The sequence below is a fragment of the Homo sapiens genome, chromosome 7, assembly GCF_000001405.40.
Source record: "Homo sapiens chromosome 7, GRCh38.p14 Primary Assembly".
NCBI lineage: Eukaryota > Metazoa > Chordata > Mammalia > Primates > Hominidae > Homo > Homo sapiens.
The window spans coordinates 95,976,746-96,002,951 of NC_000007.14; the positions used below are offsets into that span (position 1 = coordinate 95,976,746).

Sequence of the window (26,206 nt, forward strand, 5' to 3'; positions counted from 1 at the left end):
CCTTAAACCTTCTACACTGTGCCTGATGCTTTCAAACACTATATAATGGAAGGGGCCTCTAGGAAAGGCAAGTTGAGAGTAGAGGAAAAATGAGCATACATTTGCATAGGGCAGGAAGGGCACTGTAACATCTGGCAGGGGTAGCCAACTCAGTCGACTTGTTAGTCTCATTAAATTCACATTAATGCATGAACTGCTCTGAATGTGTAAATACCATTTTGAGTTGTTTTCTCCCAGACCAATGGCATTGACTTTGGGGGCCCTTCCCTTGGTTGTTTACTTGCCAATGGCATTTGACCTGGGGTCAGACCTGTATTTAACCCTTTCCTGTAGGTCAAAAACAAATTAATTTGGTGAGAATTAAATTGGAAATGAGTCATCTGTACAACAGGTGTTCCCTGTGGGAAATGTGCTCCAGGTGGAAACATTTTAAAATCTGTTCCTGGGCCATCTTCGAAGAAGCTTCAGAGGTCAGGGAGGCAATTCCAAGACATCCCACGTGGTGAGGGCCTGGAGCTGGATGTACAGGTGCCCATTCAGTATGGTTTTCTCAACAGCTTGGGGAAATTTTCAAAGAGGCCCCTTTTGGAGATAATTTATTCATAAATTCATGAACATTTATCTTGGGCATTCATTGTGGACTGATTTACTTAGATGTTGCCCTAAATGATTGGAACTTTACCCTTTACCCCTACCTCCCACTATCAACCAAAGACTTTGATTTGGAGGAAAGAAAATATTGTATTTTTCTCTTTCTTTTTTCTAGAGGATGAGGAAGATGAGGAAATGGTGGAATCTAAAGTTGGCCAGGACTCAGAACTGGAAAATCAGGACAAAAAACAGGAAGTGAAGGAAGGTATGATATGGAAAATAAACTGAGTAATCATTTTATTGTTTTGTTTTGTTTGCCTTTACTAATATAAGAGACTATAGAGCTAAGTAAAAATTGAATTTGCATCCCCTATATGGAAGATTTTCTATGATTGTTCAATACATTACATTTAGCAACATAAACTGTAATCTCCAAAGCAAGAGTCATTTATTTCTTGACTGATAAAGGCAAATAAAGTGCAAAACGTCCACAATTTCAGTAACAATTTTAGTCACAATTCCAGAACACTTGTTACCAATTGCCATGTTATCTCATTCACAGAACCATATATTCCCAATGATAACAGTAAAGCAAAGGACTAGATATAATTATTTTGTGAATAAATTCTAAAGTGTTTTCATGTGATCTACATAGAAACATTAATAGTGATCAACGCTAGTAACTCTGCTATTAAAATTTTTCTTCTGCAACTCTGCCTGTATAAGGAGGAACAACCTCTTACATGTTCTGGTGATAATAATAACTAACATTTATTAAGGGCTCACTATGCCCTTGGCTCTCTTCTAAGCACTCCACAGATATTACTCACTCCTTACAACATCATTTTGAAGCAGATACTGTTATTACCCCTATTTATAGGCAGAGAACTAGGAAGAGAGAGGTCTAAAACTTTATCCAAGGATACATAATGTACAAGTACATGAGCCAAGATTTAGAGTTAAATCCAAAGTTTACATTTTACCCTGTTGCCCTCCTCATAATAGCACTGTGCCTGTAAGTAGAAAGAAAGAAAAAAGAAAAGAAAAGGAGGGACATGAAATACTGCAGGTGACATTTCCTTACAAACCCAATTTTGTATTACTTTGAGATTCTCAGCCCATGGAGACAGAAGAGAATTTTGAACTTGTCTTACTTGCTGGCAAATAAATGAAGAGCGGGACCTAAGAACTGTGTAGATTAAAAAGGTTCTTCCATATTTCCTAATGAGTGTCCCAAGTATAGATCAATATAACTCTGATTAGAAGCTCATTTGATCTGTAAATTTTAAAGATGGTTGTGGCTCTGGCACAGTGTGGCAGATGTTCAGCACTGGGGTCTTTGTAGGAATTGATACCTACTGATCCCAAGTACTCACTTCAACACCTTGTGCTCTCATGAGAAAATTAGAGAAGCCCAAATGCCTATTACAAATGACATCCATATCATATGGAGTTAAATGGGACAATTTTTTTTTTTTTGAGACAGAGTCTCACTCTGTCCCAGGCTGCAGTGCAGCGACGTGATCTCAGCTCACTGCAACCTCTGCCTCCCAGGTTCAAGCTATTCTCCTGCCTTAGCATCCCGAGTAGCTGAGATTACAGGTGTGTGCCACCATGCCTGGCTAATTTTTGTATTTGTAGTAGAGACGGGGTTTCACCATACTGGCCAGGCTGGTCTCGAACTCCTGACCTCGTGATCCACCCGCCTTAGCCTCCCAAAGTGCTGGGATTATAGGCGTGAACCACCACGCCCAGCCACAATTTTAGAAAATTATTAAAAATCACTTCATATTGAGGCTCATTTGAAGTGTGTCTGAGTGTAGGTGTTTAATTTAGTTTTGGTTTGTTTTTTGCAATCTCAGGTATCTAAAGGCCAGTGCAAGATAGTAATGAAAAAGCATAGCCTCTGGAGCCACACTACCTGGGATAAAATCTTGTCTCTGTCAATTATTAGCTGAGTGATCACTACAGACTAAGTTAGTTTAACCTTTTTTTGCCTCAGTTTCCCCATCTGGCAAACAGGTTTTTAAAAAACTCAACAGGGCTAGTATGGAACAATACTTGGCACAAAGTAAGTGCTGTATAAAAGTTTGCTAAATTATCATTAGTAGTCTTGCCTTGCAGTGCCTGGGTCTATAACTGGTTTCTACCCTGATGGGATGGATGCCCTTGGGGGCCCCAGCTCTCTGTGCTCAGCTTTGCCATAGCCCATAGCTTTGAAATGAGAACATGGTTACAGGGGCCCCAGCTAGCTAGTACATTTAAAAAATGTGGAACTTTCAATAGAGATGCAAGCAAAGTCCTTTAAACTTGTTGGAGAACTATCATTAAAGGTCTTATTTCTGTTACTGTGCTAGGTCTCAGACATTGAGAAGTTCAATCGTTGTCAAGTTCTAGGGTGTGACTAAGGTTTAGGAGAAGATTCAGCATTTTAACAGTGGCATCCACAGAAGACACAAGGCTTACTCTTTCTGAGAGTCTAAATGAATTTGATCGAAGAGATCTCACATTTAAACTTATACTAAAAACGTCTTTTAAAAAAAAAGTTGGTGAGTAGAATATCATGATTACAGGTGTAGTGAGGTACAAAATAAGTCAGGATCTATTAAAGTACTCCTTTACCCTTTGCAAAATATTCTTAAAATACACCTGGTGATAAGGAGCCAGGGTATATTTTGTGTGTCTTGGCATGGATTCCCCATCACCACCACCCCAGCCCCAATCTCCAAGTCGTCTTCTCCAGCAAAGCAAAGCAACCTCCTTCTTAAGTTCCAAGCGAAAACACCCTTCAGTTTTAACTGTTACTCGTGCTTCATGGAATTGATTAAAGTCATGTTAAAAGTCAAAAAGAAGTTTGAAAGAACATTTCCTGTTCCTGCTGCACTGTATGCCTTATTCTCCATTAATGGCTTTTCTGCAAATTAACACATAATGGGTTAAAAGGATGTTTATGTTGGCATCAAACTCTGGCTTTTTTTTTTTTTAAAGCAAGACAGTATTTTGCAAACTTTTGAAAGAATCTCTAGCAGATATAATCGTGGCGCCATTCACACGACTGCATAGTAGTTAGGGCTGTGTCAGCACTTCCATTACGAACCTTGCGTTTCAAGGATTTATTACTCAGCCATAAAGATTTGCTCTGGGCTGAAACTTGACATACACAGTTTCAAACCAGGGAACACATTTTTGAGAAATCTGGCTTTTTTTTTTTTTTTTTTTTTTTTTTGGAGTGAAAAGGAAGAAAAAGGTGGTGAGGGGGACATGGGGAAAATAATCAGTACTCACTAACTTTTGACATTTTTGCCCACGTGACATCAAAGTGCATTAAACACTAAAGAAATGCAGTCTTGATTTATTACTGTTTCACTTTTTTCTGCCATAGAGTAGGAAAAAAATCAGGTATATTTTAGCTTATAATCAAAGTTTAGAAAACTTCTATATGTCAGTGTCCTCATGTCTTCATGTTTAGAAATTCAAAACAATACAACTGGGAACCTAACATTTTTGTAAATACAAATCAACTCATAAACCTCACATTGACGTCAAAGAAAGATGTCCTTCACTTTTAGTTTGGTTTGGTTTCTTGCTGCTGTTTATGAACTGATTTCACTGTAAAATTCCCATGAGAGCCACTGTCCTTATTTAATCTAATGTTTTTCCTGGCTACATGGGTTTTATTTTTTATCTCTTAGAGATCCTTGAAAAATATTTTTGAATAATTTTTATATTGAAATTTAAAGCAGCATCACTGAAACAAGTCAGGACATATTTGTAGTAGATATTTTTAAAATATCTTTTAACAGAAATGAGATACTAAAAAACTCAGTATAAGTTGTGAACTTCATTATAAATTGTACATTTTTATAGAGGGAAAAAAATCACAAGAAGGCAGAACCCAAAAGATATAGTTTAAAGTAGTATAAATTAATTAAAGAGAAACTGACAAAGTATACATTGAGGATAGCAGGAAAGGTCAAGAAAACACGGCAAATGAAATACAATCATGCTTGAAAGATTTATTTAAAAGTATTTTCATATAAAAAATAAGAAAAATTAACATTTCTACAATAAAAAGTGGACCCTAAGTGAAATTTATATTCTATTGTAATTTTGCAGGCCACAAATTTGTAGAATTAGGCTGTCTTCTGAATTTCATGTATTCTGTAAAATTTCTTTCATACATGTTATTCAAATTCAATATAACTGGTTAAATTTTGGTAACTTTGAAAATTGTCTTATCATTTGGATTACATGTAAGTTACATCCATGCATTCTACTTTTCATAGTGTAGAATCTACTTCTTCTTAAAGAGCTCTTTAAATGCACAAAGTATTGTTAGCTGCCAGTTCTTGGCAGAAACACTCCATGTTTTGTGTTGTGAAAACAAAGAAAAAAAATCTGCTATAATAGTATTTTCTGCTTAACCTATAAGAAAAACTATTATCCATGCCCACATTTTGTTTTGGTATGCCCTTTGCTATTAAATCCTATCTTTTTAATGCCATGAACTTGTTAAAAATAATTTATTAGATTCCAGGGATAGGGAAAAGCTGTAGAAACAGATACTTGAGGTAGAATATGGCATCTATCTTGGAGTAAAACAATTCTGATTCTATTTGTTTATTCCTGTATTTTGAACTTTGTGGAATCCATTAATCAACCAATTTTCTTTCATGAAATATGATGCCTGGAGAGGTTTTTATCTCTGAATACACCTTTTGGTTGTGGTTCCTGGATACTCCATTATGTTTTCATGATATTGAACAACACTTATCAATTTAAAGATCTTTGAGTATGGGTGGTTTTGTTTATTTAATCAAAAATTACTATGGCCCTATTTAATTAAGTTGAATATTGTTTATGACTTTTAAAAAGTACTCATCTGCACATGCATCTGATTATTTTGTGCTAACAAATCATGTCATTTGATCCCTGTTTGACATCAAAGCTTAATATAAAATGTATCTTTTGTTTGCTTCTGTAGCATTTTAATTTCAAGCCAAATATTGTATTGTCAATCATAATATCTGGAGAGGCTAGTGCTCCACCTACCTGAACTTGGCCTCTGCAAGCACACTTTGATCAGCCATTTATGTTTCTGTTAGAGAAGAAGTTGTGTGTCTTGAAAGCTGAGATCAAAGTGACAATAAGCTACAGGGAAGAAAAAAATTACAGAAAATTACATAGATACCATTTTTTATTCAAGGTAATGGACCTGTAAGGAAAGATACAGGTGAAATAGAAGTGGCTCAAAAAGATAAACAGAGACTAGAAAGATTTTTTAATATCTTAAAAAATAAAGGAGAAAAATTCCTACTACTTTGTTTAATTTCAAGTGTGTCTCAAGTCATCTATTAACAGTGACCAAGGCCAAGTGAGTCTTTTTGAATAAGACATTCTTCTTGGCCTATAGTATTCTTGTTTAGTCAGGTTTATTCATTTATGTAACAGCATTAACCAAAACAAAATGGACTTAGTAGGGTTTGTTCCCCTTTTGCCTAGTTCCATTTTGTAGTTTTATTATATTCTGGAGTGAAATAATTCAAATGTCTCATTTACAGGAGTTTTAGAAAGCAGACTAGTAAATTGCTACTTCATTAGTAATTATTGAAGCCCAGCATATTTAGCTTTAATTCTTAAACCAGACTTAAAGTTTAGGTATCATCCCCATTTCATAGATAAAACTACTGCTCAAAGAGCTTCAGTGCATTGATTAACTAATCAAATCTAGCATATGGCAGGGTGCTTGATTGCAGGTTGGTGTCGTAGAGTTCTTTGTGTTATTTATGACCTCCACCTATTTCCCCACTACCTAGCCTAAGTCTGAGTGTGCATATTGTCTGATTCAGCATTTCACAAACTAGTGTCTCAGCAGCACTGCTCAGTAGAAGTTAATGGGGTCCTTGGAAAGTCTCAGTACACACTGGAATATTTAGGGCTCTGGAGACCTAGACAGCAAAGAAATATTTCTAATTTTATTTAGGGCTGCTAGAAACTATGAGGTGGGGTGTGTTAGGAGAAATTCTTCTGCTATAATGGATGAATCACGTGTTGCCCTAATATTACCTGGAGAGCATTTCTTAAGGTGTGAACCAACTACATCAGGATCATTCTAGTTTCTTGTACAAATAGAGATTCTCGTGTTTCTCCAGACCCCCTGCCTCATGGTCTGGGGCAGGGAAGGGGAGGCTAGAAAGAGGGAGATGTTACGAACATTGGATCCACTGCCATGACTTGACTCTGTAGAAGGGCTTCTTGACACTACAGATTTCTTAGGCTTCAAGATACAATTAGTCCAATTATGTAACACTTTCATAAAATATTGTGCTACAGGTGATAGTACCTAAAAGATTCTTCTGACCATGTGGCCAGGTGGAAATCGATTTTGTTGTTAGGATGGTTGTGGAAGTGCTTGGAAAACCCTGTAGGTGAGTGATTCCACCAGAGGCTCCACCTGTGATTGTAATGCACTACCCTCCTCCTGTAAGTTTAACTTCAGGAGCTTCTGTACTACTTACTGAAAGAGTAACCAATGAAAGGTTTATTGTAGGCTCTCTCCACCAGAGTTGAACTAGGGTTCCTGAAGAACCACAAAGGTTCAGCTGACAGTTTCTGCCCTTGATGGTTTTTTGGTCTGGGGAGTTCCTAATCCCTTCCCTAAGGTTTTATGTAAAACTCTCAATTGAAGGAATGGTTTATGTAACCAAATGGTGACTCTAAGGTGAGCTCACTTTCAGAAACTATGACATGCTACTAGTTATTTGATCTCTTTGTCTCATTTTTTATCTTCAAATTTAGTTTGATAAGATTAATCATACCAGAAAAGTAAGGCAGAAAAACAATTGTGGGTTGTTTTATAGAAGCATGTATTTGTTCCATGTGTTTGTTTAAAAGCAGAAGATCTTGAGTGAAAGCAGGTTTGGAATGATATATCTCTGCTTTTGAATATAATTTATATAACAATCAGTCAGCCTTACCAACTAACCATTTAAAATAAAATGAATTTATGAATTTACTCAGTAGAAAAAGGAAAGGTACTATGAGGATCATATTATAGAGTGTTCCTAATTATTTAATATTGCCAGCTTGACAATAGTACAATAGCATAATAGCATATATAAATACATAGTTTTGTGAATTTATCTATTATGCCATATTTAAGCTGTTTTTCAAGTTAAAAAAAACATTTAGAACTGATTGCTAAAAACACACCAATCTATTTTTATTTGTAATCTTCTTCAACTCTTCAAAATAATAATTAGACCAAATATGCAATCTTTTTGTGGGGACATCTGCAGAAGCCTTTGGTGTGAATTTGTAAATAATTTAGAATCAATATTAGCAATGATTTGTTTCACTGTGTCTTGCCACTCGTTTGATAAGCAGTCTCTCTCAAGAATTGGGTTCCTCTTGATAAGTTTTAATTGTCACTTTTTCTTCCCTAACAATCTCTTTTACAAAAAAATAAATAAATAAAGCCCCTCCAAGAGAGTTGACAGAGGAAGAAAAACAGCAGATCCTTCATTCAGAGGAATTTCTCATCTTTTTTGACCGGACAATACGGGTAATTGAAAGAGCCCTGGCTGAAGATTCCGACATCTTTTTTGACTACAGCGGCCGAGAGTTAGAGGAAAAAGATGGGTTAGTCTCTTGTGTGCATTCTTTAAAAAATAGCGTAAGTTATCTGTTAATTCTAATTTATTTATGTTCTGACTAGGAAAATTCCAAATTAAGAAATCAGAGGAGGGTGAAATTTTGGAATTGATCTTGCTGAACAGCTTTGACTATGGGCTTTGGTGATAACTTCTGGCTTAGAGCGTCCTTGTAATTATCATGTGCTTCTGTGAAATGCTTTTGAACTTGGTATCTGGGGAACAGTCCAGGTGATAGAGACTGGCAGAGTCACATGCATTATCCTCTGAGAAAACATTCTTTTGAGCAGCAAAGGAGATTCATGTTGTATCTACTAGATTTATTCCTGATGTCCAAGCAAATAGGAAATTGAAGAAAATAAACATGAGGTGTGGGAGAAGTTAACTGATGTGTGTAATGATGAACAGAGACTGGAAAATGTTTCCTTTTTTTGGTATCATGAAAGTATGCATATGTGTATATGCCTTTTAGGAAACATATTAATATATGTAAGAATATATTTCCAGGCAAAACAAAACTAATCAATAAAAGCAAGTGTCCCTAAATGACTTCCTCTGTGACTGTAGCATAGGTATTAGAAAAGGCCATGACTGTCAACCATCATCCTGGGGAGAATAGGAGGGACTATATGAGCCTTATAAACATAAATATAGCTGTTCTTAGCCACAGATCTCTTTTGGCCAAGAATGATATGTGAAGGTAGGGTCACTTGCCTTTTTCATCAGGCCTGATTTTTTTTGCCATTTCTAAAATCCAAATACATTCTTAAAGGACGATATCTTATCATCATTGAGGATGCTCAAGGGAATGTAACAGAGGCATGAAAACCAATTTCAAAAGGGAGTCCTGTACATGTTCTCAACAGTAGGCAGCATCTTTAGACTACCTTGAAGAAACAACAGTATTTTGAATATAGATGCTCTACAATCTTTGTGTTTTTTTGAAAAGCCATTTTTCTATGACTTTCTTGATTTTGTTGGTCCTATTTCCCTCTGTGTGCCTGGCTCAGTATTATCCTAGGCTCCTGGCAGGACGTGTGTGTGTGTGTGTGTGTGTGTGTGTGTGTGTGTGTGTATCTCCTGAGTTTGCAATGGCGGAGCTGAGGAAGGGTTAACAGAAAAAAAAATGTCATATTAGGTTTACTAATTAGAGCCCAAATAACTTGTTGGAAGCCAGGTCACCCAGTCTGAACAAGAGCCATATAAGTTAAGTGATGCAGGGCGCAAGCCAGCAGTTGAAGCAAATGAACAGAGGAAAGGTGGGTGTAGAAGAATTTCTGAACCAAAGCCCAAGCAACTTAGGCAGCTTTTTATGCAGATCCCGTAGTTCCTGGTCCAGAACAAACATTACTCGATGTAAATACTCAGCTTGTGGAGCAGCTGCATAACCAGCACTGAGTTCCTTGAAGGAGGTGTTATGGCCAGTTGAGTGTCAGCCAAGTAAACACTGGCTAAAGTGTAATCCTCCTAGATTCAGATGCTGTTTTGGTCCATGGCAGAAGTGATAAGTATCTGGAACATATCTGGTGAATCCTCCACTGTCTACCACGCCTGTCTCATGGTAGAAATTATCACTTACTATTGAGTGAGGAGGCTACTGCTACAGCCTGTCAGCATTTACAAGTAAATAAAAACATGCATATCATTTCCGGTCTAAGGACAAATAAGGTAGTATCGATATCAAAGAATCCTCTGGTGTGCTGTGCTCCCTTGATAGCAGAGATTTCTAATAAGCCCTGCTTCAGGCCAGAGCCTTTCAGGGAGAGGCTCTGGCCTGAACCAGGGTTGGAGAAAGCTTGGGACTGGTCAAGATGGGAACTTGAAACAAATCTGACATTTCATAACAGTCTTGGAACGACATGGAAACCCTTGCCAGGTCAGGTTAGAAAGAGCTTTTCATAAAGAAGACCATCTTTAGTTCATTAATTTTGATCAGGGTATGTAGTCTAGATTAACATTTTGGCCTCAGAGAGTATTGTGTGCCAGGCTTTTGCCATATCAGTGCTTCTATATGAGCAGCATAGAGAAAGAGCTCCATATTTATCTCTGATGTTTAAATCCTCCTAGGGATGTTCAGGCTGGAGCCAATCTTTCTTTCAATCGTCAGTTCTATGATGAACATTGGTCCAAGCATCGAGTGGTCACTTGTATGGACTGGTCCCTCCAGGTAAGAATTATTGCTGGGCTGGGACAAACTGGGCTTGTGTTCTCGTGGCATTTGTATAAAAAAATAAGAGATTTGTTTACTTGCCTACGATTTCCTCTCTATGCCTGTTGGTTTTTTTCCCCTCATTTTATTGAGGTTTCAGTTTCAATTCTCTACTCAGTTATTTGTATTTATTGAGTACCTACTATGTGCTAGGTACCAAACAAGAAGCCAGATTGTTCTGTCCATGAAACTATTCCATTAAGATTACCACTGATTTCCTACTTGTCAAATCCTGTGGATATTTTTAATCCCACATCTGTCCTGACCTTTCTTTGTCAAGCAGCTTAGTCAGCTTCCTTGTGCCTATAGAAACATCCTCTTTCCATTGAATTCTCACTACTCCTCTCTACTGTCTCCTAGTTCTCTGACTTCTCCAGGATTTCTTTTTCCTCTGACCATCCTTGAGGTCCCTGTGGTCATGCTCTCAACCCCTGCTCTTCTTCCTGAGGTGCTCTCTGCAGGAGATCTCTTCCACTGCTAAGGATTCAACCACGAACAGCCTATTTATATCTCCCGCCCAATCTCCCTGCTGAATTTCACTTTGTACACCAGACAGAGCCACTATTCTAGGTGTCCCATAGAATCTTAAATGAATTAGTAACTCATTATTTTCATATATCCCAAATCCTTTTTTACCTGTTATATGATCTGTATGTTAAAGGCACCACAATATACCCAAAAGCCTAAAGCAGAACTTTCATCAACATTGCCAACTTCCTCTTCTCTTCCAGACCCAGTCTGTCACGAAGACTTTCCATGTCTTCACTCATGTATTCATCATCTAATACTATTCTTAACCTTCAAACTGATATTTCTACCTTCATGCTTGTCCACATACAGTTTTCCCCTGGAGAAATCTACCCAAACAATCTTTCTAAAATAAAAATCTGATCACTCGGCTGCGTGAGGTGGCTCAAGCCTGTAATCCCAGCACTTTGGGAGGCCAAGGCGGGTGGATCGCTTGAGGTCTGGAGTTTGAGACCAGCCTGGATAACATGGTGAAACCCCTTCTCTACTAAAAATGCAAAAAGTAGCCGAGTGTGGTGGCAAATGCCTGTAATCCCAGCTATTCGGGAGGCTGAGGCAGGAGAATTGCTTGAACCCAAGAGGCAGAGGTTGCCACTGCACTCCAGTCTGGGTGATGCAGTGAGACTCCATCTCAAAAAACAAAAAACAAAAACCTGATCTCTTCATTCCCTAGACCAAAACTCCCCATTGCCCGTAGAAAAGAAGTCTAAGCCCATCAGTGTGGCATTCAGAGTGAAAGCAGGCAAATTTACCAAAAGCCAATTTGCTGAATGGCCAACTCAACTAGTTGACAATATACCGGGCACTGAGTAGGTAAGTAACATGCAAAGGCACACAGCCTAGTGTGGTGACATCAGAATTTGAACCTAAGCATCTGATGCCTGAGCCCACATTCTTAACAACAATGTTCCTTCCTGCAATAACACTGACATAAGAACAGTGAGAGAAGCAGGAATGATTACTCCTAAGCATTTATGCACAGCACAGTTTCTGCTTTCTTGTTGTCAATGCTTTTATTGGGAATAATAGTCATAGCTAGCTTTTAATTTATTTTTCTTATATACAAAGCACCATGATAGCTGCTATGAAGGCTTTCTTATTTCCCCCTCACAACAATCATATGAGGCAGCCACCCTTACTATTTCCATGACATATTTGAAGAAGTTGAGGCTCAGAGAAGCTAAGTAACTTGCTGAAAAATCACTCAACTAGGGTATGGTATAGTGGGGATTTATACCAAAGTATTTTAGCATCCCGTGGCATATGCTCTTAACCACTGCCTCTCACAAAGAGCTTCTGGATCTGAAACTAAAAGAGCTTGTAAAGGTGCAGAATGATATGGGGCAGATAGCAAGTGCTCTCAAAGTTCAGTGGAGGTTGGAATCTGTCTCTGGTCAGACAGAGCTTCTCAGAAGACTGGGATTTAGACAAATGGAGGGGAGAAGAGGGTGTTCTAGGCAGAGCTATAAAATGGTAAGTCCCAATTAATCCTATTGGAGAACAGGGGAACAAAAGAGGGGTGTAATTCCCCACAACTAGACCCTCATCAGCAATAAAGTGGGTGAATGTTCTCTCCTCTTGAATTCCTTTTTGTATCCAAACAACAAAGCACACAGTGAGTGATCTTGCAGAGACGAAGACAAGCAGGGTTTGCCCAACCACTTTCCACCAGTGTGTGGGTGGTCTCTGAGCATGCTTGAGTGTGTGCACAGAAATCAGATCCAAGCCTGAGGAAACACTTAGCTCAGCTTGTTCACTTGTTCAGAGTTGGGGAATTACACAGGAACCTTATCTGACACATTCCTCAAAGGCAACTACAACCTTGTTCCCGGGTCAGCTGATAACACTCCCTGAGGAGGCACGGGGTGGGGCTGGTCCCGCCTTGCCTCAGTAGGTGATGGGCCACATTGCCTGTGGAGGTGTTTCCACACAGGGTCTCGCATGATGTTTGTGTTGGAGGAAGTGAAGTTGGAAATAACAGAAACTCTACCATGGAGAGACCACATTTATTTTCCCCTATTTTTGTGTGACCTGCTTACCTACGCTGTGGGGAAGAGGTTTGCAATTTTGAAAAATGTGTTGTATATGAGGCGTAAGAAAAAGAGATTAGAACCCTCACCTCCTGCATCACAACACTGTTGAGGGGTTCAAAGGACCAGGATTACATACTTATGGGATAAAGAGACTTTTTGATGGATTTAGATGCAATCGAATGATATTAAGAAAGAAGAGAGATAGAGGAACAGTCTTGGTGTGCAGTGGTGGCGTGTGTGTCTAGGATGATTTCCTGAATGTAACAGAATAGAACTGAGAGGAGAAAAAGAAAGAAATTATAAGGTTTCAGCATAGCTTTCCTTTGATCTCCTGGGCTTCTTAAACCAGAACACTTTAACTTTGAAATATTTACAAAATATCATCAAACATCATTCCTTGGAAGAAATCTGGGAAGCTGGAGGATTATGTCAACTTTGTCACCCATTGAACATTATTTAACACAGTCAGTCAATAATACTATCACATACCACGTGACAGTTTTCAGATGTGTGCAGAATCAGACTCATGATCTTACTCCCACCATGTATACTCACTCCTCTCACATGTACATTGCATCTTCCACTCCTGCAGTCATCCAGGATGCAAACCTGAGTAATCTTTGGCAACTCAGTTAGTTGCTAAATCCAATCAAATTTACAACAGCAAAAAGATTACTATTGACACCAGTGCCAATCCACGAACATGGATTTGACACCTACTTTATGTCATGCCCTCTACTTCTTGCTTATGTTAGGAAACAGCGTCTTACTGGTCTCCCTACTGTCAGTCTCTATAAGGTTAAGTCAGTATAAGTACTTTTACCTGGTTAATCTTTGTAAAGATTACTTATACACTCTGTATCAACTTGGGCAAATTGCCTAACTTCTCTTGGCTTAAGTTTCTTCATTCATGAAATGATAATAATACCTAGCTCACACACTTATTGTGAGTGTTAAATGAATTAATGCATATAAAGGAATGATAATTTGGCTGGACACAGTGGCTCACACCTGTAATCCCAACACTTTGGGAGGCCACAGCAGGAGGATCACTTGAGCCCAGGAGTTCAAGACCAGCCTGGGCAACATGGCAAAACCCCATCTCTACAAAAAATACAAAAATTGGCCAGGCATGGTGGTGCATGCCTGCAGCCCCAGCTATGTGGGAGGCTGAGGTGGGAGGATTGCTTGAGCCTGGAGGCAGAGGTTGCAGTGAGCTAAGGTCTCATCACTGCATTCAAGGCTGGGAGACAGATCAAGACCCTGTCTTTAAAATAAAATAAAATAAAATAAAATAAAATAAAAATAAAGGACTAATAATTTTAAAAGTGTCTGGTGCATAAGAAGTACTTGATAAATGTGACATAGTAGTGAGAAGAGCAGTAGCAGTATTATCATTAGTTGCAAAGTGTGACTTCTATTGTCCCCCAGAATAAAATCTAAAATCATTAGCCTGTGTTCAGTGACTTCCGTGATGATGCCCTGAGGCATTTCCAGGCCTTTCTTCTTTTATACATCTTGATATAGCCTGCCTCCTAGCCACATATTAATACTACAACCTGATGTCTATTGGACATATTCTTCTTCACTGTATTGGTCAAAAAGACTTCACCTTTGGCTAGGTTAAGTAGACAGAGGAATTTACTGGGGAGCCATTATAGTAGTTAGGGAATTCATGAAAAAGATGAAGAACTAAAACTTAGAAATATTAGGAATCTGGGCAGCCCGAGGGACCTCACCAACAGGCTGCTGTCCTTATCCAGACCCCTTTGCCAGCTCCCAGGTCCTGTGTCTCAGTTCAAAGTTTACAATATTCTGGTTAGAGAACGCCTTTGGCTCAGCTGGGTCAAGTATCAACCCTGCAATTAATTAATTATCCCTGGGAAGTTAGGCTTCTGTTGACTGGGGTAATCTCCAAAGAGAGAGATTCACATGAACCAGGCAGATACCAAGAGGGGTCTCCTGCACCCCTCTTTGGACTCTTGTCCCTGCTGTCATCTGTCCTAATAACCTACCCACTTGACAAGGCTCAAGGTCTCATTTCTTCTGAGAAATCCCTTTCAATTTCTCTTCCTGCCACACCCCACACCAGCTTCCATGCTTATTTATTTATTTATTTTGAGATGGAGTCTCACTCTGTCACCCTAGCTGGAGTGCAGTGGCATGATCTCCCCTTACTGCAACCTCTGCCTTCTGGGTTCAAGCGTTCTCGTGCCTCCCCATCCCGAGTAGCTGGGATTACAGGAGCAAGCCACCAGGGCTGGTTAATTTTTGTATTTTTAGTAGAGACGGGGTTTCACCGTGTTAGCCAGGCTGGTCTTGAACTCCTGACCTCAGGTGATCCACCCTCCTCGGCCTCCCAAAGTGCTGGGATTACAGGCATGAGCTAGCATACCTGGCCCCATGCTTCTACAGAACCTTGCTTCTGCCTCTGTCTTAGCACTTGTCATGGTCTGCTTTTTTATTTGTCTTGTAGTTACTTCTACGTGTGTCTTACCTCCCTCCATCTAATGATAAGTTCCTATAGAGAAGAGCCTATTATTCAGGGCATTCATGTCACATATTTTACCTGTCATGGTGCCTTACATATTTATAGGGGACACTTGAGGCATGCCACAGCAGACAGGAAAGGAGAAGGCTTTTGAAGCCCAACAGACTTTAAGTGGGGTTCTTGCTTTATCACTTATTAGCAACATAGCATGGAATATGTTATTTAACCCAGGACTCTGGGTTTCTTTGTCTGTGGAAATGAGTAAACCATTGCCTACCTTAGAGGGTTATGAGGACCAAATGAATTAACATATCAGTGTCTGGTTCATAACGGGCACTTAAAACATGATGGTTCCTTCCTCTCCAGTAAATGCTAGGTTCTTTTTTTTTTGACGGAGTCTTACTGTGTCACCCAGACTGGAGTGCAGTGGTGCACTCTTAGCTCACTGCAACCTTCACCTCCTGGGTTCAAGCAATTCTCCTGCCTCAGCCTCCCGAGTAGCTGGGATTACAGGCACACACAACCTGGCTAATTTTTGTATTTTTAGTAGAGAAGGGGTTTCACCATGTTGGCAAGGCTGGTCTCAAACTCCTGACCTCAAGTGATCTGCTGGCCTCAACCTCTGTGTTGGAGGCCTCAACCTCTGCCGGCCTCAGCCACTGCGCCCCAACTAGGTTTCATTTATTTGTTAGAAAAAAAATGGGGTTGAGAGCATATCTGGTAATTTCCAGGTAAAATTCTCCTAGGGTAAGTATTGGATAATTCAGCTCTATGAGTAACCAAATGATCATGAATTTCATAATTCTTTATATTCTCTTTAAAAACATAACTTCGAACAACACTTAAGATTAAATAATTGTTTAGAGATTTTTTATTGGAAAAAGAAAATATGACTAGTCATGTTCAAACAAACAGTGGAAAAAGACATACTAGAGGGCACCTTGAAATCCCAAAAACTTGCGTGAGATAAAATTTAAATCAGTATCTTTAGGCCTTATGATCTCAGTTATAGAAATTATGCCAATGACATTTCACTGGTAATTTTACTAAAGCACTCCCTGTTTTCTAAAGGAGTTTTAAAGCTAAATAATTTTAAATATTTTTAAATGGAAAAAGAAAAGCTGCAAGTGGGTACCAACAATGAGACCCAGCTGGGTGATATTATTGCAGAAACATCTAGCTGCTCCTTAGCCCCTGTGGTGGTGGTGTTGATGTTTATAGAGTTGCCTTTTCACATGTGACATAGTTAAACTTCAGATGGACAGTCTGGAGACTTCTGTGTTTATCTGGATGTTAGTTTCTTTGAATGGGCTTTGAATCAAAGGCTTTCTTAATAGGCCTTTGATTCATCCGCTGCAGAGTGTTTTTTAATAAAGAATGATTACTTCCCCTGGTGGCCACATACATGTGTGTCACTGTACGCTTATACTTCCTCTGCACAACCAGCACATTGTAACTCTCTGCAGATTTCTTTAGTTGAGGCTGCTGGAAGAATGAATAAGACTTAGATGTAGTTATTTTTAATAGAAAAAAAAGATCTGTGTTCAAATTCATAAAGGCAATCTTCCATTAAATATATGTATAGAATAATGAAAAAGGAGGAAAAAATTAAATTATAAGAAGAGAGTGATACGGTCTGCCATAATCCTGATACTATTTTTAATAGGACTGCCTTTTGAGACTCCTATGTAGGAATGACATTTTCATGAAATGTGTCCTAACTCATAAGTACTTCCTATGAGATTTATCCTCAGTTTATTTAGTAACACTCAGGACAGAGTTTTTGTAGGGTGAGTAGGTCTTTCTAATACCTAGAATCACTATAGAGTCCTTCTTGTTATTTTACTGGTTATGTTTCTGGCATTTAAGCCTTTAATTATTAGCATTGTTTGACAACAAAGGATGATATATAAAGCCTTTCTATTGAGCACAGAATTACTAAAATTAAAAATTTTAAATAATTAAAGAAATTTTGGCACAAGTTTATTATATGCTAGGAATTGACCCTGGATTCAGAGGTCAACAAAAACCAGTCCCTACTCTCAAAGAGCTTGCAATCGAGTGAAAGACACAGGTGTAGAAAAAAAATTATAATGCATTTGACAAGGGCTTTAATTGGCAGGACAGACACATGATACAAAGGGAGCTGATAACAGGCAAGGAAGGAAGTGGTTGGTTAAGTCAGGATTGTCTGGAGGACTTGATGCCTGTGTTGAGTCTTAAAGGATGAGTTAATTATGTAAACAACACCAAAGGGTCATCCCAGTGAGAGTGAGTATGAGACTCATAGGTACAGAGATGTACCTGTGTGCCTCAAAACTAGTCCAGTGAGGCTGGGTCATAGGCTGTGGGAGGTGGGGAGAAAGAGGGAAGGTTGTAGGAGAGTAAGCAGGAAAGGCAAAAAATGACAGATTATTAAGGATCCTCTGTGACCTGCATTTTGCCTTGAAAGTAATGATGAGCCATTAAAGTATTTTAAGCTGAGGAATGACTTAGCCAAATACATATTTTGTAAAGTCTTCCTGATAAAGGATGGAGAATGGAGTAGGTCAGTATAGGAAGCCATTTATGAAGCTGCTGCCTTCATCCAGATAAGAAATTAATTTAGCAGGCTCTGACCTTAAAGATAGAAAGAAAATATTCATTTGAAAGGTATTGAGGAAATAGGGAAATTTAGTGTGTGGGAGTGAGAGAGAGAAAGAAGTAAAAATAAATGGGCCAGGCATGGTGGCTCACGCCTGTAATCCCAGCACTTTGAGAGGCCGAGGCTGGTGGATCACGAGGTCAGGAGATCGAGACCATCCTGGCTAACACGGTGAAACCCCGTCTCTACTAAAAATACAAAAAATTAGCCAGGCGTGGTGGCCGGCGCCTGTAGTCCCAGCTACTCAGGAGGCTGAGGCAGGAGAATGGCGTGAACCCCTGAGGTGGAGCTTGTAGTGAGCCAAGATCAGGCCACTGCACTCCAGCCTGGGCAACAGAGCGAGACTCCATCTCAAAAAATAAATAAATAAATAAATAAATAAATAAATAAATAATGTAGAATGGCTGGCCTGGGCCAGGCGAATGTTAGTGCAAGACCCTAAAATAGGGAACATGGAGGAGCAGTAGGTTTCGTGTGGAAGTCAATGAGATCATTTTTCTATGTGTTACAATTGATGGGTCTATGGACAGCCCTGAGAAATCCCCAGTAGGCAGTCAGATATAAAGACCTGCATCTCAGAGAGAAATTAAGCCTAGAGATATAGATTTGAAAATTACCAGCATGTTAAGCTTATTAAAGCCACTGGAGTAGATGAACTTACTCAGCGAGAATAGCCCTCCTTGGAATTTATGTAATAGAAGGAGAACCTGCAGGAACTGAAAAGAGAAGTCAGGGAAGAAAATCAGGAGAGAAAGATGTAATGGAAGCCAATACAGGAGAGGAAGGGAGTAGCACAAAGTGTCAAATAATACGGAGAGGTAAAGCGATGTTTGTAGTTTGATAGTTACCGGTGAGTATGACAAGCGCATACAGAGTGTTGGAGGCAGAAACAAGATTGCAGGAGGTTGCAGCAGTAAGCTGATAGTAGGTATGCCACAACATAACAGAAAGCACCATTTACACTGTGTAGTATACCACGTGTATGTAGGAATAACAAAGTTTTCCTTGTGTTGTCATCTTAGCATAATTCATCCTTGTGACCTCTTCCATTTAGTACCCTGAGCTGATGGTGGCTTCTTACAACAACAATGAAGATGCTCCCCATGAACCAGATGGAGTGGCCTTGGTTTGGAACATGAAGTTTAAGAAAACCACACCAGAATACGTCTTCCACTGTCAGGTAGGAGTCAGCGTAGTAAAAATAACTTACATCTCCTGCTAGACCAAATATAGTTTGTGCTGCATTGCATCTGTCTTATGCTGAGAGGAAGAACTCAGTTTAAAAATGAAATTGTTGACAATTTTGGAAAATTCCCCCACAGTAACCTAATGTTTTGGGAAAGTGGCAACCCTCCCCAAACAGTTAGGAAGCTTGGTTAGGGACTGTGTGTCATTTTCTTTCTATTTAAAACAGCCCCCATGAGGATGAGTTTATAAAGACCTCGCACTTATGAAGAAATCGTGGTGTACCACTTCCTCTGCTTAAAAGCAACATATGCTTGCCCACCCACGTGGACATCCTCAGAGCACTACCATTTCAAGTCTCCTACTCTCTTGGAAATGCAGTTCAATGGATTTTGCTGACTTTAAGTTTATGGGCGCCATACTACTTAACAGATAATACTTTTGTAGCTGGCATGGGGCAAGACTTACCACTCGTATTTCTTGAGTTGCTGGGAAATATAGATGCTGTTTCTGGTTTGAAAATGCAGAGATAATTTCAAATATGTTTGTATTTTTCATTCCTTCTCTCTGCGGACACGTCTTCTCTTCCCCTTGACACAATACAGGCTGAAATTATGGTACCCTTGTACACGTTCAGCATTGCTCTGTTGCCATGACTCTGCCTAAATAATAGGCCTCAGCATAGGCCAATACACCAACCCCTTTATTAATGCTCCTATCCTGTGATTATGCACAGGCAAATAAAAAACAAACATTTCAGCTCAAAATTGCAGTTCCTCAAATGTTAACAATTCAGAGGTACTGAGTGGCAGATTACTCTGAATACAAAGACATCATTTGAAGAGGGTGGGTAAACCTGTTGATTTTTGGAAGCTTAGTGCCATTTTCTATCTAAGAGCCAAGTATCTTTTTGAACTAAAATATGTTTAGACTTTAGAGCATTATCAGATATAATTTGGGGAATAGGAGCTGCTGGAATAGAGTCCCAGCCTCAACCTGATTGAGTAACCTCTAACTCTGGCCATGTTTTTCTAATTTGCTGTCTCAAAAACAACTTAACAAGAAGTCTAGTTCTGTATGGTAAATAACCTTTATTTTCTTAGCCTTTGAAATAAGAACGGTTCTTTCTTTTTTTCTTTTATTTTTTTTAAGATTTTCAAGTCAGCTTGATATGCTCCTTCTGTAAACATAGAAGCACAAAATCCTAATTTTGTTCAGTTTTACAAGGTTTGCCGAATTCCCAGGAAAATACTGTAAGGATTAAGAAATAAAGAGAAGCACATTTTTGAAAAACAGTGCCTTTTAAATTATTTTGATATTACAGAAAGTCTTTGATTTTAAAAATCCAACAATAATACATTATTATAATCAATATGTATGATCTTTATCATGATTTTTAAATTTTAATTATATTAACTGACTACAGGTTTCTGGAATCAACTGTAAATTACTTGTTTTACCACACAACAATAGTTAATACTAGTATTAATTGAAAAGGGCATTCTTGTGTGTGTGTGTGTGTGTGTGTGTGTGTGTGTGTGTGTGTATCTTTGGGATCATTGACTAAACATTTCTCCAACAAACATTTTTTTTAGTTTCTCCCTTAATGATCCAATATATGTCATTGAGAAGAAAATATACTCGTGATTTTAAAAAAAAAGCAAGAGGTACCCTAAATATAGTAACAAGATAGTCATACCAGAGTTACCAAAAGATGCTGAGTAAAATAGTTGATTCCAAAAACTTGTAGTCAGCACTTTGATACAGGTGATACTCATGAAGTTGGGATAAAGGTCAGGTAAATATCACTGGCTGCCAAAGAAAAACAAAATTGCTATGATATTTAGTATTTCTGAACTGTTGGGAGACAAAATCAGGAAACTTTCAGCAGCCAGGGAAGTCCTAGATGAAATAGTGATGGAGGTTAGGTAGACAGATAACATAATAAAGGCAATTTGGTTACCTTTGTACTAAAGTGTAATACCTGTAGCAATATCTACGTGTTTCTGTATTTTAAATTTTCCCAACACTTCTGCCTTCATGATCTCATTGATTGTACAACAGGGAGGTAAGAAAAATGTTATTATTCTCTTTTTCCAGTTGAGAGATTTTATACTTTAGAGGTTACCCAGCTAGTGAGCAGTAGAGCCAATCCTGGAACTGAGGCTTATTCTATCGCATACATCGTGCCATCACCTAGGCTGCATTCTAAAAATGTGGGCAGACATGGGACTTGATAGCAAAGGCTGTACAGCCCATTCAAGGTATATTTTTGGCCACCTACCCTTATAAGGTATCGATTAGACATGGTTCTAGACGTGGCTATCTTTACCACCTTCTAACCCTAAATGGAAATTTAGAGATCCCACAGAATTAAAATGTATATGTGGAAAAACCAAAGCCTTCACTCACTGACCTATAACTTTTCTTCTATCCTATCTGATCTTTGCTAAATCTTATTTATTACAACTGGTCATTTCTAGACACTAACTCAGGGAAATCACGTCGTTTGAATGTGCTTCCGCATTCTCCTGTGATGTTCTGATAATTTCAAAATTAGACAATTCATTACTTAGAAAAAGGGCAGAGGTAGAGAGTAGCAAGAGTACCTTATGATGACTGTACTTTTATAATTTTGGAGTAATTGCGTAGCTATTCATTTCCTGCTGATCTCTGCTGATTCTTCATATTTTTTAAAAGTGTATAATTGTAAACAAAACCAATGGATCAGAGAAGCATTGTGTCAGTCAGTGGAAAGCAAATGCACAAGAAACAGACATCAGCTCCATGGTGTTTTGTAAAGACTGACAAGCTTTTTGCCTACTCATAAAAAGATTTTAGTATATAGTTTCATTTCTCTCTGTTATGGATAGCAAGGCCAAAAAGTATCTTCTACTGTCACAGGCAGTTTTTGTGTCTTTACTAAACTGAATTTTTAGTGTGATCTCTGGTCCTGCATTTTCTATTTTTATTTCAATAAAAGCTGTCTGTACTTGGAAAATATTGGTGGACCCTGCATAGAAATCAGCCACTCAGCCCCATAACACACTCTGGCAGTGCTCCTGCTGTCTTCTGTAGTGGCTTCCACACACTGTCATTAGATTATGTGTCTGACCACCCTGCATTGCTTACCCTGGTGTGGTCTTTCTCTTTTAAATGGAATGAATAGAATCAGAAATATATACCTTAGAATTATCTGCGTTGAGGTAAATGTAAAAGCTATGTTTAGAGTCTTAGCTTGGTCAGAGGTTTTTATTTTTACTTTTACTTTTTGGTGATTTGGTTTCTTTGTTCTTGGCAATCTCTTTTAGAGGTGGACCTGACAATGACCTGAAGCTGACAATCACCTGAAACCCTCACTATGTCAGGGCAAAGCAGAGTGTGAAGTGGGGTAATATCAGCTAACCTCGTTTGTGTCAGTGTTTAAAGCCCTCAGTCTTTATTCCTTCATGGGCTTTGCTTCCCGTTAAGATTCTATAAAGGGTACAGATGTCATTGCTGCACACGGCCTCAGCTGCCCAGTGTTTGATTCTGTATGACGTTCCTGCTAACCTCAAAGAGAGTTCCGCCTGTGAAGAGTGATGGTAACAGAGGAGGGAGTGTGGGCTGGTGGTTAGGACAGGGACAGAAAGTTAGGACTCGGAGTTCCATTCCTAGCTGACTGCACTGCTGAGTGACCCTGGGTGAGTCATGGGGGCTTTATTGTTGTGTTTCCTGATCCCATGCAAAGAAGACTTTCTCTAGTCTCTGGTTCAATTGTAAAGTTTATTTCAGTAAACCTCATTTCTTCCTCCATCAATTTTTGTCCCTCCCCCAACCCAGATTGTGGTCTGTAATCCAAATCTACAAAACGGCTGTGGACACAGAGATATAAATTAATTGACATTAACTTTGTAAAGTATATTTTGACCAGAGAAGTGTTAGAATCTCCTTAAGGATTTTTATTTATTTTTTTAAATGAAAAGAATAGTAACTTGCTTATGGCCCATCTGATAAAAAGAAAAGGGCATCTTCTAAGCTTTTCTCTTGGCTAGGCTAAGAAGTGGTTATTACAGGTCAAAAAAGAAAAACAGATAAAAGAACAGAAAGTTCTTTGACAATTACTGCTTCATATTTAGTATGAATTCCTGGGATTCAAAATGAAAGCACATAGTAGGTGCTTTATAATTGCCAAATAAACTCCATGGCTAAGAATATGAAAACCAGAGTGAGACCCAAACAGTTTTCAAATGTGATATTCAAAGTGCCTCAGGATGGGAAAACAGAAGAGGAAACCTCAACCAGTGTTACATTGATTATCATACACATTTTGAAGAATAAAATCATGGAAAATTTAAACTTAACTTTTGACATAAAGGTAAAATTAAACTCTTACATAAAAGATACAACTTACATGGATCAGACCAGAGAAATAGTGCCACAACATTGCTACTTTGTGCCTTTCGGAAAAGGCATAAGGGAATACCAGTATACATGGTGAAATGAAATGCAGACATCCCAAAACACTTCTTTTCTGCCAATTGAGAATGACCGATCCGATGAGCTAGACAGTGATTCTTATTAAATCAAACAGCAGGAATTTCATTTTGCTTTGCCCAGGAAGCTGGAAGCAGAAAACCTGCCCCTCCAGCTTTCATTCTTTATCTACCCTCCTCTAGAGTCTTCTCCAAAAAGCAACTCATGAAGAAGCAGAAGTGATCACTGGGACACATCTGGGGAAGTTAGAATTATCAGCTGGATTCTAGCAAAGAGATTGTATTGTAGGTGATTCCTCATCTGAAAACAGCAATGAAGGAGATTATTTCTATACCTCATGGAGTATGCGAGGGACCAAGTGAGCTATTTGATGAAGAGGATACCATGAGAATACACCTTTAAACAAGTTGTTTTAAAATCGTTTTATTTGTCTTGCCATGACACATTGCAAGTGATCAAGCTAAAGTTTCATATCATTACAAAAACTAGCCTCTTACTAGCATTTGCTGCATCCCGTTAATGTGCACACATGTTGTCAACACAGAACTCCAGCTGATTCTATCCAGTTCCCTAAATGCCCTTCCCTTCTCTCCCCATCCACTGTGCTACAACCATCTGAACCAGGCTTTCTCCACTGTGCTTCATTCAGGAAGTATCCTGGGAATTATGGATGCTGTGCAGTGAGAGCCAGATTGCAATATGAGCACGTTTGCTGTCTTGTCCCTCCCTTCCCTGCAATACCCACCCACCTCCAGCCATTCACTGAGGTGAGAGAAGCCTTGGTCTCAGGAAGATGGGTGTTCTGAGGGGTCTGGGTTGAAGATGGATGGGATTCTAACTACCTCTTAAGATTATAATAAGGATAATAGAAACAATATAGTTATATTAGCCTGCTCAGGCTGCTACAACAAAATAACATTGACTGGGCGGTTTATAAACAACAGAAATTTATTTTTCACTGTTTTGGAGTCTGAGAAGTCCACAGTCAAGGAGGCAGCAAATACTGAGCTAAAATGAGATCAGTATTTTAATAACTGGTAAGGTTATACTGTGTGCGTAGCCTTACACATAATGTAATCTGTGAGAGCTCTCTTCTTGGCTTGCAGATGGCCACTGTCTTGTTGTGTCTTCACATGGTGGATGGAGACAGTGAGCTCTCTGATGTCTCTTATAAGGACACTAATCCTATCCTATCAGGTCCCTACCGTTATGACCTCATAACCTTCATTACCTCCTTCTGGTCCCTATTTCCAAATACAGTCACATTGAGGGTGGGGGCTTCAACATATGAATTTGGTCGTGGTGGGGGAAGTACAATTCAGTCCATAGTAATTGGTGAACTTGCTTTGAAATGATAAAAGTATTCTCTTTACATCTGTTTGTTTTACTATTATTGCATGATAGTCACGTGGGAAGAAGCTTAAACCTTGGCATTTTTATTTTTCTTGCTAGGATATATTCCTGAAGAAATTTCACCTAACTTAGATTCATTCATTGACCCATTCATTTGTTCATTCATTCAACAATTATTTTGGAGGTACCCACCATGGCCAGGCCCTCACAGCAGTGATAGGCTGGAGGTGAGACCCTCTCCACAAGAGCCCTTCAGTTTTCCCCAACCCCAACCATGCTTAATTTTCCATCACCTGACTGGCTCCTCTCAATTATTTCTATTGCCTAGGCCCTGTTCACATTGGTCAAATTTATATGTGTGTTCTTTATATTAAAATGCCAGTTGATAGAGGGAAACTGAGACAATTCCAAAGTTCTCTCATCCCAACTATTTAACCATTTGTTTTCTAACTAAATGATGATGAGGTATTTTCTGAGTTCTGGGAGGAAGTTAAGTACATAGTGGTTAAGAGTGAGCTATAAGGCCACACAGCCTGGAATTATAATTTGGATTCTACCACTTAGAATCTCTGTGACCTTGAGCAAGTCAAATGGTTGTTATGAAACTATAATAAATAAATAAATGTGATGTATTTAGTGACAGGCCCATAGTAAGTACCCAGTGAGTGTCAGCAATAATTATTATTGAATATACAAGAATGAAATTCAAAATATGTAGCAATCTTTGTGTATTGTCCAAATAGCATGGATGTGACCTCCCTCCTTAGTTGCTGAATGGGGGGTTGTGACTGAGGGGTTCTCCAGGGAGGTACCAATTCATTCAGGCAACAGGAGAGTGCTGGGGACAGGTAGAGAAGGGCATCTTACCAATGAGTACAAAATAAGCTCAGCATTTTTTTTTTGGTTTTGGTTTTTTTTTGGGTTTTTTTTGTGTTTTTTTTGTTTGTTTGTTTTTGAGACAGAATCTTGCTCTGTCATGAGGCTGGCGTACAGCAGCACGATCTCAGCTCACTGCAACCTCAGACTCCCAGGTTCAAGCGATTC

The 26,206-nt window shown here is 38.9% G+C and overlaps 1 protein-coding gene across 5 annotated transcripts in view; it reads left to right on the forward strand.

Moving 5' to 3' along the window:
• Positions 1–26,206, forward strand: part of DYNC1I1 (dynein cytoplasmic 1 intermediate chain 1) — a 337,769-nt gene that overhangs the window by 204,192 nt on the left and 107,371 nt on the right. For all 5 annotated transcript variants that reach the window (NM_001278422.2, NM_004411.5, NM_001278421.2 and 2 more), the window contains 4 exons: positions 767–856; positions 8,070–8,232; positions 10,311–10,410; positions 19,203–19,328. In NM_001278422.2, the coding sequence (NP_001265351.1) occupies positions 767–856; positions 8,070–8,232; positions 10,311–10,410; positions 19,203–19,328 (479 nt within the window). The remainder of the gene's footprint in view (positions 1–766; positions 857–8,069; positions 8,233–10,310; positions 10,411–19,202; positions 19,329–26,206) is intronic.